General features: G+C 41.9%; 1 protein-coding gene across 8 annotated transcripts in view, besides 3 other annotated features; it reads left to right on the top strand.

Annotated features, from left to right (window-relative positions):
* SCFD2 (sec1 family domain containing 2) overlaps window positions 2,400-16,374 on the top strand; it is a 493,080-nt gene continuing 479,105 nt past the window's right edge. For all 8 annotated transcript variants that reach the window (NM_152540.4, XM_017007787.3, XM_047449646.1 and 5 more), the window contains exons 1-2: window positions 2,400-3,357; window positions 15,695-15,863. In NM_152540.4, the coding sequence (NP_689753.2) occupies window positions 2,520-3,357; window positions 15,695-15,863 (1,007 nt within the window). In that variant the 5' untranslated portion in view covers window positions 2,400-2,519. The remainder of the gene's footprint in view (window positions 3,358-15,694; window positions 15,864-16,374) is intronic.
* Window positions 2,435-2,484: an enhancer, noted in NCBI's record as "active region_21562". NCBI's record gives its function as "activates an Ori minimal core promoter by ATAC-STARR-seq in GM12878 lymphoblastoid cells {active_cell/tissue: GM12878}" and the evidence as "EXISTENCE:reporter gene assay evidence [ECO:0000049][PMID:35858748]".
* Window positions 2,505-2,704: an enhancer, noted in NCBI's record as "active region_21561". NCBI's record gives its function as "activates an Ori minimal core promoter by ATAC-STARR-seq in GM12878 lymphoblastoid cells {active_cell/tissue: GM12878}" and the evidence as "EXISTENCE:reporter gene assay evidence [ECO:0000049][PMID:35858748]".
* Window positions 2,925-2,974: an enhancer, noted in NCBI's record as "active region_21560". NCBI's record gives its function as "activates an Ori minimal core promoter by ATAC-STARR-seq in GM12878 lymphoblastoid cells {active_cell/tissue: GM12878}" and the evidence as "EXISTENCE:reporter gene assay evidence [ECO:0000049][PMID:35858748]".

Below are 16,374 nucleotides of genomic sequence, written 5' to 3'. Positions count from 1 at the left end.
TTCATCAGTCATCCAGACAGAAAGCTGGGTGCTAACCTGAAATTCTCCTTCCGTGTCACCCTCTCTGTCAAACTAATAAGCAAGCCCTTTGGCACTATATTCTTAACGTCTATTCATACTCCCCACTCTGTCCATCTGCTTGTTACGCTTTTCAACTCTCTCACCCAGATTTGCTGCTGATACTATTATTTTCTTAACTGCTCCCTCTGCGCTAAATTGCTCCATTTCAAATTATTTTCCATGTTTTGACTAGAACCATTTTTTTTCTAAAATCCAGATGTGAACAAATTATTTCCATACCCCAAAATACATTAATACTTCCCCACTGGCTGCTACTACTTAGAATGGAAAATAAGGCTCTTGCTGATCTAGCCCATTTCTTTCTTTTCTAATTCCTTGCTCTTATTTCTTCTTGCGCCTTTTTTCATACAATGCACTCCAGCTATAGGAAACCCTTTGTAGTTCCAGAGAACATATTGTACTGTTTTATGCCTCTACGACTTTGTTTATGCTGCACTCTGTGCCTGGACTGCTAAGAATCCTCCTCCCCATCCTGTCCACCTGGTGAACACCTGGGTTTCTTTGAAGGCAAGTCAAAACTCATGCCCTATATGAAGCTTTTTCTGACTTCTTCCTTTTTCTCTTAGAATTTATTTTTCCTCCTTCTTGACTCCTATACAAAAAATTTTAAAAAGTATTTGCTTCTGTAACATTTTATTGCACTTGTTTTACATGTGTGGGTCCCTTTATTTCATCATAATTATTTTGAAATCAGGGCTGTGGTTTAGTTTTCTTTATATCCTTAAAACCCAGACAGTGTTTGGAATACTGTACGTATTTATTAAAAATTGGCTGGATATATTATTATGTGGAATTTTTTTTTTTTTTGAGACAGAGTCTCGCTCTGTCGCCCAGGCTGGAGTGCAGTGGTGCCATCTTGGCTCACTGCAACCTCTCCCTCCTGGGTTCAAGTGATTCTCCTGCCTCAACCTCCCGAGTAGCTGGGATTACAGGTACCTGCCACCATGTCCAGCTATTTTTTGTACTTTTAGTAGAGACGGAGCTTCACCATGTTGGCCAAGCTGGTCTTGAGCCCCTGACCTCAGGTGATCTGCCCACCTCGGCCTCCCAAAGTGTTGGGATTACAGGCATGAGCCACCGCGCCTGGCCATGGATATTAATTGAACATTCATTCAACGAACATTTATTGAACACCTGTTATAAGTGTTGGGGATACCAAGCATCTAGTGCATAATTTAGCAAAACAGATAGTTTAAAGAAAATAGTGTTAATACTTACCCCATGATATGGCAAGTACTTAGCGAATGTATCAATTGAGTGGTTTGATAGGTGGGGGAAGTGAGAGGTGATAGGGTGATAGTGGTGGTGAGTTAGAAAAAGTCTCTCACAGGCAGTACTGTTGGAATGATTATTTTCGGTAAGTTTACCAGGTAAATTCTTTGTGGATTAGGTAATGAATTTTATTAACCATTGCATCTTTGAAGCTTAGCACAGAGATTATACTTAGTAATGTAAGTATATTGGTGGAACAAACAGAACCCATAAAACATTTTGGGTTCAGCCTATTGACTTCATTGTATCGGTACAATTTTTCTCCATGTTGGGAATAGCTGGAGAGAAATTGAGAAATCAAGAAGGATGTTGATGCTTTTTAAAGAGTGTGGATGTATCCTATAGGCAACTGGGCTAGGAGAAGCTTTTAAGCAGGAAAGTTGTAGGACCAACTTTGTTTATTAGGAAGAAAATAGAATTGGAGGGTAAAGAGATCAAAAGTCAGAAAATGTTGGGAGATCATTGCCTGGGTGAGCGATGATGTTGGGTTTTTGTGACAGCAAAAATGGAGAGGAAGGGCTGAATTCTGAGAGTTTTTAAGCCTATAAGATGTAGTGACGATGAGATGAGGGAGGAAAGATGGAGAAAGTGAAAATGAGAACAACAGGGTTTGTTATGAGGCTTGTGGGCGATAACGTATGTGACAGCAATCTATAAACCCAAAATATTGCACACGGTTGTTTTTATTATCTTTTTCTAGTTGCTCTGAGTTTAGATTGAGAAGGTGGCTGTACTTTTGGAGACGTGTTCATATCTAAGGAAGATACCAAATTTCGGATTAGGTTTTTATTTCGGAGACTTTTCAAGGAACATGAGAAGATTATCTGAGAAGATTATCTGCGCAGACAGGCCGAGCGACGGAAAGAACTCAGTTCAGCTCCATCTCAGGAAACACCTGATCTCCACGAGCTTTTGAGGAAGCCCGGAGCCACAGAGCCCCACCCACTTCTTTCCCGACCGCGCCATCCTTCCTCACTCCCGGCCTCCTCTCTAGCCAATCACCGCTCAGTTTAACGTCATCACCGAGCGCCATCAGGGAGCGTGTCAGAGGCCGACCACGTGTACTGTGGAGACTGTCAAAGTCTCCCGGAGCCCAATTTCCGGAAGCGGTGAGTTCTGAAAGAAGTTCCTGCACCGTAGTTTCCCAAGTCTGCGAATCCCCAACCATGAGCGCCTCGGGCGTACTGTCCTTTACCCAGCAAGGATGGGAGCAGGTGCTGGCCAAAGTGAAACGGGCTGTGGTTTACCTGGACGCCGCCTGCGCCGAGAGCCTGCACTGGGGCTGCGGATCCACCCGTCTCCTGGAGGCGGTGGGGGGTCCTGACTGTCACCTGCGAGAGTTCGAGCCCGACGCAATTGGTGGTGGAGCCAAGCAGCCCAAGGCAGTGTTTGTGCTGAGCTGCCTGCTGAAAGGCCGGACCGTGGAGATCCTACGGGACATCATCTGCCGCAGTCACTTCCAGTATTGTGTGGTGGTCACAACCGTGAGCCACGCTGTCCACCTCACAGCTAATCATGTCCCAGCGGCGGCAGCGGCCGAGATGGAGGGGCAGCAGCCGGTGTTCGAGCAGCTGGAGGAGAAGCTGTGTGAATGGATGGGCAACATGAACTACACGGCCGAGGTGTTCCATGTCCCGTTATTGCTTGCCCCTGTTGCTCCCCACTTTGCCTTGACTCCAGCTTTTGCATCCCTTTTCCCACTGCTACCCCAGGATGTGCACCTCCTTAATAGCGCCCGACCGGACAAGAGGAAGCTGGGAAGCCTGGGTGATGTGGACTCCACTACGCTAACCCCAGAGCTGCTGCTGCAGATCAGATGCCTAGTGTCAGGCCTCAGTTCTCTGTGTGAACATTTAGGAGTACGGGAGGAGTGTTTTGCTGTAGGTTCCTTAAGTCAGGTCATCGCTGCGGATCTGGCCAATTATGCCCCTGCAAAGAACAGGAAGAAGACTGCTGCAGGCAGGGCATCAGTGGTTTTTGTGGACAGAACCCTGGATCTCACAGGTAAGTGCATTGCTCTGGAGTTCTTCATTACCATTCCCCACATTGCTGGGACTTTCATTGATTCAGCATATATTTTATTGACCTTTTATTATATATTAGATTGAGGATACAAAGATGAACTAGATGGACACGGTCTCTAATCTCACAGAGTTTATTGTCTAAAGTGGAATACAGACAGGTGAATTAGCAATTACAATAACATTTGTTAAATGCTGTAATGGGTAGAAATGTCATAAATGCCCATTGCCTTGTTAAACAACAACTTTAGCCCAAGATTATGCTGACAGGGAGGAAAACTGTGCACCTGGGAAATTTTATTTTTAGAAATTTACGAATGCCAGTATTCACAACAGTCCTTCATAAGAAGACTCTGGTTTGTTGGAGAAGTGTTAATAGATGACCCAGCGGAAGGAAAACTACTGCACAAGAAAACATAAAATTATTACAGACAATTGAGGTTTAGGAAATGAGTGTTCAAAAGTGAGGCTGAACTTAAATGTTACTAGTAAATGAGATGAAATAGAATTGTAGAAAATATTTTCAAATGTTTATTGATTTATTTTTAGCTCTCATTGTATTAAAGATTAAGTAAATAATCTCAAATTGTAATAATGTATTATTTACACAAAAGAAACAAATGTAATCCTTAAAGCAGATGAAGAAAAGACACTTTCTGATGTTTGATATGTTATTTTCAAAGGTCAACTTTATTGTTCTCTAATTAGGTTGTATAATACTGTTAGTAATATAGCCTAGCCACTTCCAAGTCCAGGGAGAATAATCGGAAAACTGACATTGGTAGGCATTCCCTTTAATCGGTCAGAAAAAAAGTTGAATTAAGTTATAAAAAACGAAATAGGTATATTTGAGTTTTTAATCTTAATAAGATTAATTTTCAGATAAAAAATGGAAAGTAGGCTAAATGGTAATACTGAGATGTAAACTTAATTATGTGACTGGAAAAACCAGGTGTCCAGTCTGTGATTTAAATATATAAGTAATAACTGTAGCATCACAGAGTCCATAGGGGATTAAAAGATAAAACCTGATAAGTAGATGCTTGTTGAGTTTTTTTGTGGATGCTATATATTACTGTTACTTCTATCTCTTTATGCCAAAAATGTAGCAAAGTTGTTTCATAATCAACTGGGAAGTTCACATAATTTTGTACCCTCCCCTAAGACTTCTGTTAGGCAAAACTTAATATCCCACTGTCCAGCATCATAGTAACAGCTCTTTACATCTTCAGTAGGTAATGCTTTTTTTTTTTTTTTTTTGAGACGGAGTCTCTCTCTGTCGCCCAGGCTGGAGTGCAATGGCGCAATCTCGCGAGGCTCACTGCAAGCTCCGCCTCCCGGGTTCACGCCATTCTCCTGCCTCAACCTCCCGAGTAGCTGGGACTACAGGCGCCCGCCACTACGCCGGGCTAACTTTTCGTATTTTTAGTAGAGACGGGGTTTCACCGTGGTCTCGATCTCCTGACCTCGCGTGATCCACCCGCCTCGGCCTCCCAAAGTGCTGGGATTACAGGCGTGAGCCACCGCGCCCTTTTTTTAAACATACAGAATAAATAAGGTGAGCATAACTTCTGCCCTCTAAAAGTTTACAATATAATGTAGTCAAGTATCAATATAACGTAGTCAAGTATGATTTAGAGCCCGGCACAGTGGCTCATGCCTGTAATCCCATCACTTTGGGAGGCTGAGGGGGGCAGACTGCTTGAGCTCAGGAGTTTGAGATCAACCTGGGCAACACAGCAAAACTCAATCTCTACAGAAAATTTAAAAATTAAATAAAAAATGAAAAAACTAGCCAGGTGTGGTGACCTGTAGTCCCAGCCACTCAGGAGGCTAAGGTGGAGGATAACTTGAGCCCAGAAGGCAGAGGTTGCAGTGAACCACCATCACATCCCTGCACTCCAACCTGGGTGACAGAGTCAGATTCTGTCTCAAAAAAGAAAAAAAAAAGAAAAAAAGAATGATTTGCAAAATAAAGACACATAGAAAGACAAAGTTGCCATTTGGCAGCAATCATTTTATAGATTCTCCCTTATCAAGTGTCCAGATCTCCTTCCCCATACTCACTTTTCTCGCTTCTAATATCACTGAGAAAATATAAGCCACTAAACAAATCTGTATTTTCCCATCACCAAATCTACCACCCTTCCTACATCTGTACCCATGTCTTTTTCCTTCCTTCATATTGAAAAGAAATATACTGTCCCTGCCACTAACGCCAACTTTTTCACCTATGTAGACTAAAGCCTCTCTTTTCACTTCTCTCATAGATTTACTGTTTTTCAAATACCCTCTCCCTTTCTTAGATCATCATTTTTTCCTTTTCTCTGTATTTTCACCCAGGGAACATCTTCTGTCTTGACCTCTCATGCTCTTCCAACTTCAATTCCATTTTTTTTTTTGCTTTATTTTATAGCAAACTTGAAAGAGTTGTCTATACTTGTTGTCTCCACAAACATCTGCTCCAATTTTCTCTTGACTCCAGTTAGAGTTTTATTTTCCAATACTTCCCAGAAACTTCCTTTGTTTTATTACCACACTAATTCTACTGAACTTCAAAGCAGCATTTGACACAGGAAAGCATGCAAATAGTTAAAAAACAATTAAAGAAGTATGAAACCTATACAGACAAGCAACCACTTAGGCCAGCTTCTTATATAATCCCTCAAAGCATAACTATGACATATCATTTACTTGCTCAGTATTCAAGTGGCCTCTGATCATACCTCCTGTCAAGTTCCTCACTGTTGTTTTCAAGGCCATACCTGATCTCCCCTCTTACAACATTGGCTACCTTGCCATTGTCAGACATGCTAAGCATGTTCCAGCCTCAGGGCCTTTGCATTTCCTCTGCAGCTCTGCTTGGGATGTTCTTCTTCGAGGTATCCATATGGCTTTCTCCCTCACATCATTCCTGCTCCTCAGAGAGGCCTTCCTGGGTGAACTTCTTTGACACTCTCTTACCCTTACCTGGCTTTATTTGTCATAGCCTTTACTATTCCCTGACACTACTAATTGATCATTTATTACCTGTCTCCTCCCACTTGAATGGAAGTTCTTGAAGGGAGGGACTCTGTTTTGTTTACTGTTTATTAACCAGCAAGAGTACCTTCAAAACAGTAGGTATTCAATATATATTTATTGAATGAATGGATAAATGAGTGGATTAAAGGTCGTAGATACCAGACATTAATTGAAATTAACACACTTATTTTTTCTAATTGAAAATGTTTCCGAGATTCTTGAATCATATCATTAGTAATACACAAATGCAGAAAAAACGATGCACACTGAATAGTCTAAGATTTGGCAGCTTGGGCTCACAGGAAAACTTAAGAAAGAAAATAATGATATTAGCTAGTCATATTTATATGAGTATTTTATAGATAAAAACCACTTCTTACCGGGTGTGGTGGCTCATGCCTGTAATTCCAGGCTGAGGCTGGTGAATCACTGGAGCCTAGGAATTCAAGAACAGCCTGGGCAACAGAGTAAGACCCTGTCTCTATAAAAAATACAAAAATTAGCCAGGTATAGTGGCTCATGCCTGTGGTCTCAGTTACTTGTGAGGCTGAGGTGTGCAGATTGCTTGAACCTGGGAGTTTGAAGCTGCAGTAAGCTGTGATCGTGCCATTGCACTCCAGTCTGGGTGACAGAGCGAGACCTTGTCTCGAATAAATAAGTAAAAATAAAAATCCCACTTTTACATTACCTTATTTGATCTCAACAAATTGAGTTAAGTGTTCTTTATCATTTTAAGAATTAAGATATTGAGGCTCAAAAGTTGTTCCTTACTAAAAAAAGCATAAGAGTTAGTTAGCCAGATGTGATGGTATTGTGTCACATTTGACATTTAATTCTGTAAATGTCAAAGTTCAACATCTTTTGTTTTTTGAATTGTCAAAGAGAGAGTTAGTTTTGTATTGTTAGTGTAAAGTCCTTACTTTCTTTACATTTGTTAAGAATCCTTCTGCTAGTAGGTGGTCTTCCAGGGTGAATGAATGGTTAAGTTAGCGAAGGTACTCAGTAGCAGGTTTGTGTGGGAGAGGGCATTTTAGGTACATGAGATCAGTGAAACAATATTTAATGTTGAAAGGGGCATTGCTCAAAGGGAAAAAATAGAAGATTTCTCTGGGTAGATTCAAGGCAACATGTAAAAAGAGTAAGAAAAATTCAGCTACCCTGTCAAGAGCCTGAGAGGAACCATGAAAATATTAGTCTCAATGGGATGCTATGGGCATTCTAACACAAGATATGATGATAAAGCAATGAGATTGAACCCCCAAAAGTTACTTGAGGTATTCCTCAAATACATTAAAAATTATAAAGACTCCGCTTCCTTCTTACCTAGTTGAATAATTAAATTCAAAAACATTTAGGTAGGGCTCAGTGAGGTAGGTGTCTGGCAGGGAGGAAGACCTTGGCTGGGCCCTGGGTGTTGGATCCCAAGTGGGGTGAGATCTCCTGAGAAGGGTGAGGTCACCTGCTTAGTGGTGGTAGGTGACAGCAGCAATGGCCTGGTAGGGTGATAAAGCCAGAATGGCCAGGGCCCAGTGTATTTGCCTATCTACTGGTTTATGGAACCAAGTTTTGATTTGTGGTCCTCTCTGAAACCAATCAGCTTTGAGCACAGGATACTCAAGAAGTGTCCATGATCTACATCCCATTTAAAAATTATCACCTGCTCACTTTTAGAAGGATTAAAATTACTGCTAGATGGTGGAGGGTAGACTTTGGAAGATAGATTTTAATCAGGGCTAGTTTGTTACTGTGATCCTAATAACTGATAAATTGATGTCTTTTTAATAGATACCTTTTGGATAATCATCCAGATTATCTTCCAGATGATCAGCTTAAAATCTCATTTGGTTCAAAGATGTTTCCACATAGTGTTACATCCCATATTAGTGATATACAGGATTGATTTTCAGTGGGTACATAGCTGTATTGTCAAACCTTTTGTTTAAATGTTGAAGTACTTCTGTATTAGTGAGTAAAAATAACCCCTCTACTTATTAAGACCACAAGTCACCAAATACTGTTGTCCAGTGGAGGCAATAGATAGAGCCTAGAAGCATGCTAGTGTGGATGCAGCTGGCCCCCTAGGGGCACTGAGGGAACTGAGGCAGTGGAGGTCATGGTGGCTCCATGGTAATAGTGAATGAGAAAAGGCAGCACTTGCCCACTGTTTCAGAGTGGCCCCACATTGAATGAGGTAGTAGGGTAGATGATGTTAGTGGCATTATTGTTGGCAAGGGTGCTCCTGGCCCTGGCATTCTGGAGAATACATGGTCATGATGCTCACATTTTTAATGGATTTGCCCTTCTGGATGCAGCAAGCTTAGGGAGCTGGGAAGCTCATGACTATCAGCTTAATGGAGTAGTTGTTACAAGAGTTTGGTGAGGTTTCTTACATCAAATTGTGGCTTAGATTGAGGCATTGTTTAGCCAGTGACAGCTGAAGCAAAAAAAAGATTGTACCAACAACTTCTAAAAATCAGAAGGGTTTTACGTTTTATTTTTTGTAAAGACAGGGATTTCACTTTGTTCGCAGGCTGGTCTCAAATACCTGACTTCAAGCAATCCTCCTGACTTGGCATCCCAAAGTGCTGGGATTACAGGCCTGAGAGGTGATTTGAAAATTGTTAGAATGACTTAAATGATTTGAATTTCAATTTAAGAGACTTGACAGCCATTTTAATATAGAGACCAAAAGGAAATACATTTTTCAGTCTTTGATTTAGACGTTAATTTATATATTAATTTATGTTATTAGATGCTAAATATTTTGGATGCTAGCCTTGTTAATTTACTATTAGAAAATTTATATATTTATATTTCTTCTTAGATGTGAAATTGGCAGTATCAAAAATAACCTCAAATAATTCAGAAGTACTTGACATTGTTAACATCATGTTTACAATGTAGACAAGTTTCTTTCTCATCTTTTGGTTATCATCTTTGCTGAAAGTAGTATTTCTTTGTCTAAATGTACTTTTTTTTTTAACAAATATTTATTGAGTGCCTATTTTGTGCTAAGCACTGTTCCAGGTAATAGCGAAACAGTGGTAAACAAGATAGACAAGTTCCTTTCTCTCCTGGTTATCCAGTTGATAAGCACTCAGGGCTTAAATATAAAAAGTTGTAATTGTTTGAGAAGTAAATGGCCACTGATGCCCATCTCTTTCATTCTGGCTTACTTTGACCATGTCCAGACTACCCAGAGTTTGGACACCTATGGGTCAGGCATGTTTGCATAGAGGATTTAAGTCAGCATTCTGTGGGCCATTCTGGCTTCTGATTTGTTTCCAGGGACAATTAAAAAAGAGACTTGATTCATGAATTCCTAAAATATTTGAGTTTGGTTTCCTTTCATGTTCTGGCTCTTGAGATTGGCTAGAGTGTTTTGCTAATAGTTTTCAAGTTCAAAATTAAAAGGTAGGAGATGGTGGTAACGATGGGAATTAAATTTACTCTCTTAGTTCAATTCTGAATTTTAGCTTCATGTAAACTTTTTTTTTTTTTTTTTTCCCTGAGACAGCGTCTCACTGTGTTGCCCAGGCTGGAGTGCAATGGCACCATCTCGGCTCACTGCAACCTTCACCTTCCAGGTTCAAATGATTCTTGTGCCTCAGCCTCCCAAGTAGCTGGAATTACAGGCAGGAAAGCCACCACCACGCCCAGCTAATTTTTGTATTTTTTTGTTTTGTTTTGTTTTTTAGTAGAGATAGAGTTTCACCATGTTGGCCAGGCTGGTCTTGATCTCCTGACCTCAAGTGATCTGCCCACCTCAGCCTTCCAAAGTTTTGGCATTACAGGCAGCTTCATGCAAACTTTTAAATTAAAATCCTTTTGATTAAAGATTAACTCTCATTCCAGTGGATGGTTCTTAATCCTGGGATTATGATACACTGAAGTGTTTATATTTGCTTTAAGGTGTGATTTTATATTACTTGTCAAAGTATTGAAATTTGAGTCCACTAGTAATGGCTAACATTTGAAAATGAACTGTTTATCTCAGCACTCTGCATATGTAAATTCCTTTAATTTTCACAATAATTTTTGAGATAAGTATTATAATTATCCCAATTTTACGGATGAAACTGAAGCACAGAGGAGTTAAATAACTTGCCTCAGATTACACATGTGTTAAGTGGCAGAGCTAGGATTTGAACCTTGGCAGTTTGCTCCAGTGACTACTCTCATATGTGGGTGTGGGAAAAGTTTGAGAACTGTTGTCCTGCACAGTAGAGATGATCATTATATGGTGTGTCCGGAAGTTAGCAGCTTCAGAGACTAAACATTTGGACTCCAGTGCTGCTTTAGTGCTCAGAAAAGTGTCTGATTTTTTTTCTCCCCGATCTGCTTTTCCAAAACATGCAAACTAACTAACTTATATCTTTATTTCAGGGTTCAGAAGATACTATTTAAAATAAATAGGTATGAGACACAGTTGGGAAGCCATATAAAGGCTGACTAGATTTTTGGTGTTAGATCCATGCCAGGATAACCTCACATCCTGGCTTAGTGACTTTTTTTGTGCTATTTGACCCTCATTGAGCTGTTGAGGTTTTCTCATTTGTAAAGAGGGAAAAATATCCACCTGTTTTTGTATTCTAACCTGTGGGAAGAATATGAAATAATTCCTTTTTTTTTTTGAGACAGAGTCTTGCACTATTGCCCAGGCTGGTATGCAGTGGCTCAATCTCAGCTCACTGAAACCTCCGCCTCTTGGATTCAAGCGATTCTTGTGCCTCAGCCTCCTGAGTGGCTGGGATTATAGGCACATACCTCTATACCTGGCTAATTTATATATATATATTTTTTAGTAGAGATGGGGCTTTACCATGTTGGCCAGACTGGTCTTAAACTCCTGACCTCAAGTGACCCTCCCACCTCAGCCTCCCAAAGTGCTGAGATTACAGGCATCAGCCACCGAGCCTGGCTTGAAATAATTCCTTCATTCAAAAATACATATTATCTATTACTCAAGGAATAGGGGAAATAGTGCTAAAAATATCCAAATCCTTCCAGTTAGGAAGTTTAAATTTTGTTTGGGAATGAAGACAGTAAACAAATTACTAATATCAGTATAATAATATGGGCTATTAATATTAATGAAGGTAGGTGTGGTGGTTTAAAAATATGTCTACAACCCTGTCTCTACTAAAAAATACAAAAAATTATCCGGGCGTGGTGGCAGGCGCCTGTAGTCCCAGCTACTCCGGAGGCTGAGGCAGGAGAATGGCGTGAACCGAGGAGGTGGAGCTTGCAGTGAGCCGAGATCGCGCCACTGCACTCCAGGCTGGGTGACAGAGCAAGACTATGTCTCAACAAAAAAAAAAAAAAAAAAAAGTCTACAAGTTGGGTGTGGTGACTCACACCTGCAACCCCAGCACTTTGGGAGGCCAAAGTGGTGGATCACTTGAGCCCAGAAGTTCGAGACCAGCCTTGGCAATATGGTGAAACCCCATCTCTACAAAAAATACAAAAAATTAGCTGGGCATGGTGTTGCATGCTGTAGTGCCAGCTCTTCAGGAGGCTGAGGTGGGAGGATCACCTGAGTCTGGGAAATCTAGGCTGCAGTGAGCCATGATTGAGCCACTGCACTCCTGCCTGGGCAACAGAGCAAGACCTTGTCTCTCTCTCTCTATATATGTCTACAAATTCTTTGATACCTCTTCCTTCAAGAAATACAGTTTAAATTCCCCTGCCCTTGAGTGTGGGCTAGGTTTAGTGACTCACTTATCCCCTTCTCCCTAAAATAGCATAGGGCAGAAATGCAGAAGTGTAATTTTCAAGACCAGGTCCTAAAAGGTATTGCATCTTTTTCTTTGCTTTGTTCTTTTGGATCACTGGCTCTGAGGGAAGTTAGCTACCATGTCATGAAGAGACTCAAGCAGCCCTATGGGAGGCCCATGTAGTGAGGAAATGGGATTCCTTTCAACAGCCAATGAGGAACTGAGGCCTCCTGTCAATAGCTTTGTGAGTGAGCCATCTGAGAAATAGATCCTCCAGCCCAGTCAAGCATTCAGATGACTGCAGCCCCAGCTGACATATTGACTGCAATTTTATGAGAGTCTCTGAGTCAGACCCAGTTAAGCCACTCTGAATTCTTGGATGCATAGAAACAGTTGAGATTAATACATGTGGTTTTAAGACAGTAAGTTTTGAGAGGATGCGACATTTGAACAGAGGCCGAAAGAAGGGAGGAAGCATACCATGTGGCTACCTAATGATAGAACATATAAGATCCAGGGAATGGCAAGTGCAATGGGCCTAAGGTGGGAGCATGTGTGTCATGCTTGAGGACCACTAGGAGCCCAGTTTGGCTAAAGTGTTGTGAGCAAGAGGGAACACCGATAGGAGATCAGTTGGAGGGGTAGGTTGAGGGAATGCTTTGTAGGTTAAAATAAGGATTTAGAATAATAGCCAAAGTATAATGGGAATCAGTTGGAGAGTTTTGAGCTGTGATGTGATATGATCAAATTTATGTTATATAGGATCATTTATGTAAAGAGTATGAGGATTGAGGTAGATCCTCAATATATGGTAGCTACTGTTACTAAAGAGATTACGAGAGCTTAGTTATAGTAATCTTAGCTCTGCCCTTTCCTAGTCAAAAGTCCTTGGGCAAGTTGCCTAACTTCTGCCTCTCAGTTTCCTGATCTGTAAAATAAGGACCTCAGAGAGTAACTGAGAGGGTAAAATAAGTTAACATGTCTATCTTCTAGAATAGCTAGAGAAAAAAATGAAGTAGAGTAAGTGAAAGGTTCCCCCTGCATGATCCTGCAAGATCACTACAATTCTGGTTACTCAAGACAGTGTTAAAAATGGTATGAATGATCTCTGTTCATTTCATAAGCATATTAGTCAGGATTCTCCAGAGGGACAGAACTAACGGAATATATGTATTGAGCTCTTATGAAGACTTCTCAATGCTTGCTTCTCATTTTATTCCATATAAGACTTAAAGACAAGTGAAGATGTTACATGCCTTATGATAATGACACTGACACACATAAAATCCACAGGATCATACAGAATTGGTATTTTCTGGTCCCGGTAACTTGAAAAGTTTAGCCCTTGAAGCAATTGGCTTAATTTAGGATCTCAAATCCTTGAAGCAATTGGCTTAATTTAGGATCTCAAATCCTGGGAATAGTTTCAACTATCTGGGAAACTAAGGTGGGAGAGTTGCTTGAGCTCAGAGTTCAAGGCTACAGTGAGCTATGATTGCACTCCAGCTTGGGCAACAGAGTGAGACTCTGCCTCTAAAAAAAAGAAAAAAAAATAGAAGAAAAAGAAAAGAATATAAAAAAATTCAGCTTTAAAATTTCAGGATAGTATCATCTTATGACACTATTTACCTGACTGACTAGATACAGGTTATTTATTTATTCATTCATTAAGCAAATGCTTATTGATGCCTACTATATGTAGGCACTGTGCTAGTGAGAGGTGACAAAGTGTTAGCAGCCCTTGCTCGCTCTCAGTGCCTCCTCGGCCTCGGTGTCTGCTCTGGCCACACTTGAGGAGCCCTTTAGCCTGCCGCTGCACTGTGGGAGCCCCTCTCTGGGCTGGTTGAGGCCGGAGCCAGCTCACTTGGCTTGCCGGGAGATGTGGAGGAAGAGGCACGGGCAGGAACCAGGCCTGCACTGCGGCGCTGGCAGGCCAGTGTGAGTTCCATGTGGGCGTGGGCTCGGCGCGCCCCACACTTGGAGTGGCCGGCCGGTCCAGGCAGTGAGGGGCTTAGCACCTGGGCCAGCAGCTGCAGAGGGTGCGCTGGGTCCCCCAGCACTCCCAGCCCACCCACACCACGATTGAATTCTCGCCAGGCCTCAGCCACCTCCCCGCGGGGCAGGGCTTGGTACCTGCAGCCCGCCATGCCCGAGCACCACCCCTTCCCCCTGTGGGCTCCTATGGGGCCCGAGCCTCCCCAACGGGCACTGTCCCCTGCTCCGCAGCACCCTGTCCCATCGACGGCCCAAGGGCCGAAGAATGTGGGCACGTGGTGCAGGACTGGTGGGCAGCTCCAGCTGCAGCCCTGGCGCGTGATCCACTAGGCGAAGCTAGCTGGGCTCTTGAGTTGGGTGGGGACTTAGAGAACTTTTATGTCTAGCTAGAGGATTGTAAATGCACCAATCAGCACTTTGTGTCTAGCTCAAAGTTTGTAAATGCACCAATCAGCACCCTGTGTCTAGCTCAAGGTTGGTAAATGCACCAATCAGTGCTCTGTGTCTAGCTAATCTAGTGGGGACTTGAAGAAAGTTGTGTCTAGCTGAAGGATTGTAAATGCACCAATCAGCACCCTGTGTCTAGCTCAAGGTTTGTAAATGCACCAATCAGTGCTCTGTGTCTAGCTAATCTAGTGGGGACTTGGAAAACTTTCGTGTCTAGCTAAAGGATTGTAAATGCACCAATCAGCACTCTGTGTCTAGCTCAAGGTTTGTAAATGCACCAATCAGCACCCTGTCAAAATGGACCACTCAGCTCTCTGCAAAATGGACCAATCAGCTCTCTGTAAATGGACCAATTAGCTCTCTGTAAAACGGACCACTCAGCAGGATGTGGGTGGGGTCAGATAAGGGAATAAAAGGAGGCTGCCCGAGACAGCAGTGGCAACCTGGTTGGGTCCCTTACCACACTGTTGGAGCTTTGTTCATTTGCTCTCTGCAATAAATATTGCTGCTACTCACTGTTTGGGTCCGTGCATGCCTTTATGAGCTGTAACACTCATGGTGAAGGTCTGCAGCTTCACTCCTAAGGCCAGTGAGACCACGAACCCACTGGGAGGGATGAACAACCCCAGAGGAGAGGAACGAACAACTCCAGACGCGCTGCCTTAAGAGCTGTAACACTCACCGCGAAGGTCTGCAGCTTCACTCCTGAAGCCAGCGAGACCACGAACCCACCAGAAGGAAGAAACTCTGAACATGTCCGAACATCAGAAGGAACAAACTCCGGACACACCATCTTTAAGAACTGTAACACTCACCGTTGAGGGTCTGCGGCTTCATTCTTGAAGTCAGCAAGACCAAGAACTCACCAATTCCAGACACGCTAGGTGCTAGGGATACAGTACTAGCCACAGCAGACATGAGTTCTGCCCTCATGGAGCCTTAATTACAACCTGTGAGGTACATGTTGACTAGGTGATTGTGAATGTGATTAGCTGTATGAAGGGCAAAATGTGAGTTTTGTTGAACAGAAACTAAAAATGTATGTTATTTTTGATAGAAGGTGTGTGATAAAACATTTATCCAACTTGCTTTTTCCTCCCATTTTATGAATTTACATCATCTTGTCTGCTTAAACAGGAGCAGTTGGACATCATGGAGACAACTTAGTAGAGAAGATCATTTCAGCACTTCCCCAGCTCCCAGGCCACACAAATGATGTGATGGTTAACATGATAGCGCTCACTGCACTCCATACTGAGGAGGAAAATTATAATGTGGTTGCACCAGGCTGTCTTTCACAATCCAGGTAAGATATATAGTTTTTGTCATCTTATCTTTCTCTGTCTTCCCCTTTCTTTTTCTCCTAGACTGAGTATTCCCATAGGAAAAAAGCAATGAAGAATTGGTCTGGTTGAAAATTTCACAGTGGGTAGCATTTAGCAAAAAGCATTTTTTCTTAATTTTGAAATAACCACATCCACTAAACATAATAATCCAGAAAGTATGGAATTTTATAGAACTGTCATTTACATGTAATATAAGCTTGTTCCCAGGATTGGTTAAGTGAATCAGTTTATGTATCTCCATTTCACAGATAGTTTCACATGGAATTGAGTCTAGTCTTCCTCAGTTTCTTTTTCCCAGTTGACTTTTTCACATCACTAAAAAGCAACTCAAACAGCAATGAAACCATGCCATCTTTTTATATTAGATGATATACCTGTGGATATCAACAGAAGTTTTTATTTCTAAGTATATTTTTTTTCACATGCTTAGAGGAATCAAAGAGAGAAGATTATGTACGTTGTTATGCAGAG

The sequence above is a fragment of the Homo sapiens genome, chromosome 4 (assembly GCF_000001405.40).
Source record: "Homo sapiens chromosome 4, GRCh38.p14 Primary Assembly".
NCBI lineage: Eukaryota > Metazoa > Chordata > Mammalia > Primates > Hominidae > Homo > Homo sapiens.
Note: the sequence above shows the minus strand (reverse complement) of the source record. Positions and strands in the feature narration are given on the sequence as shown.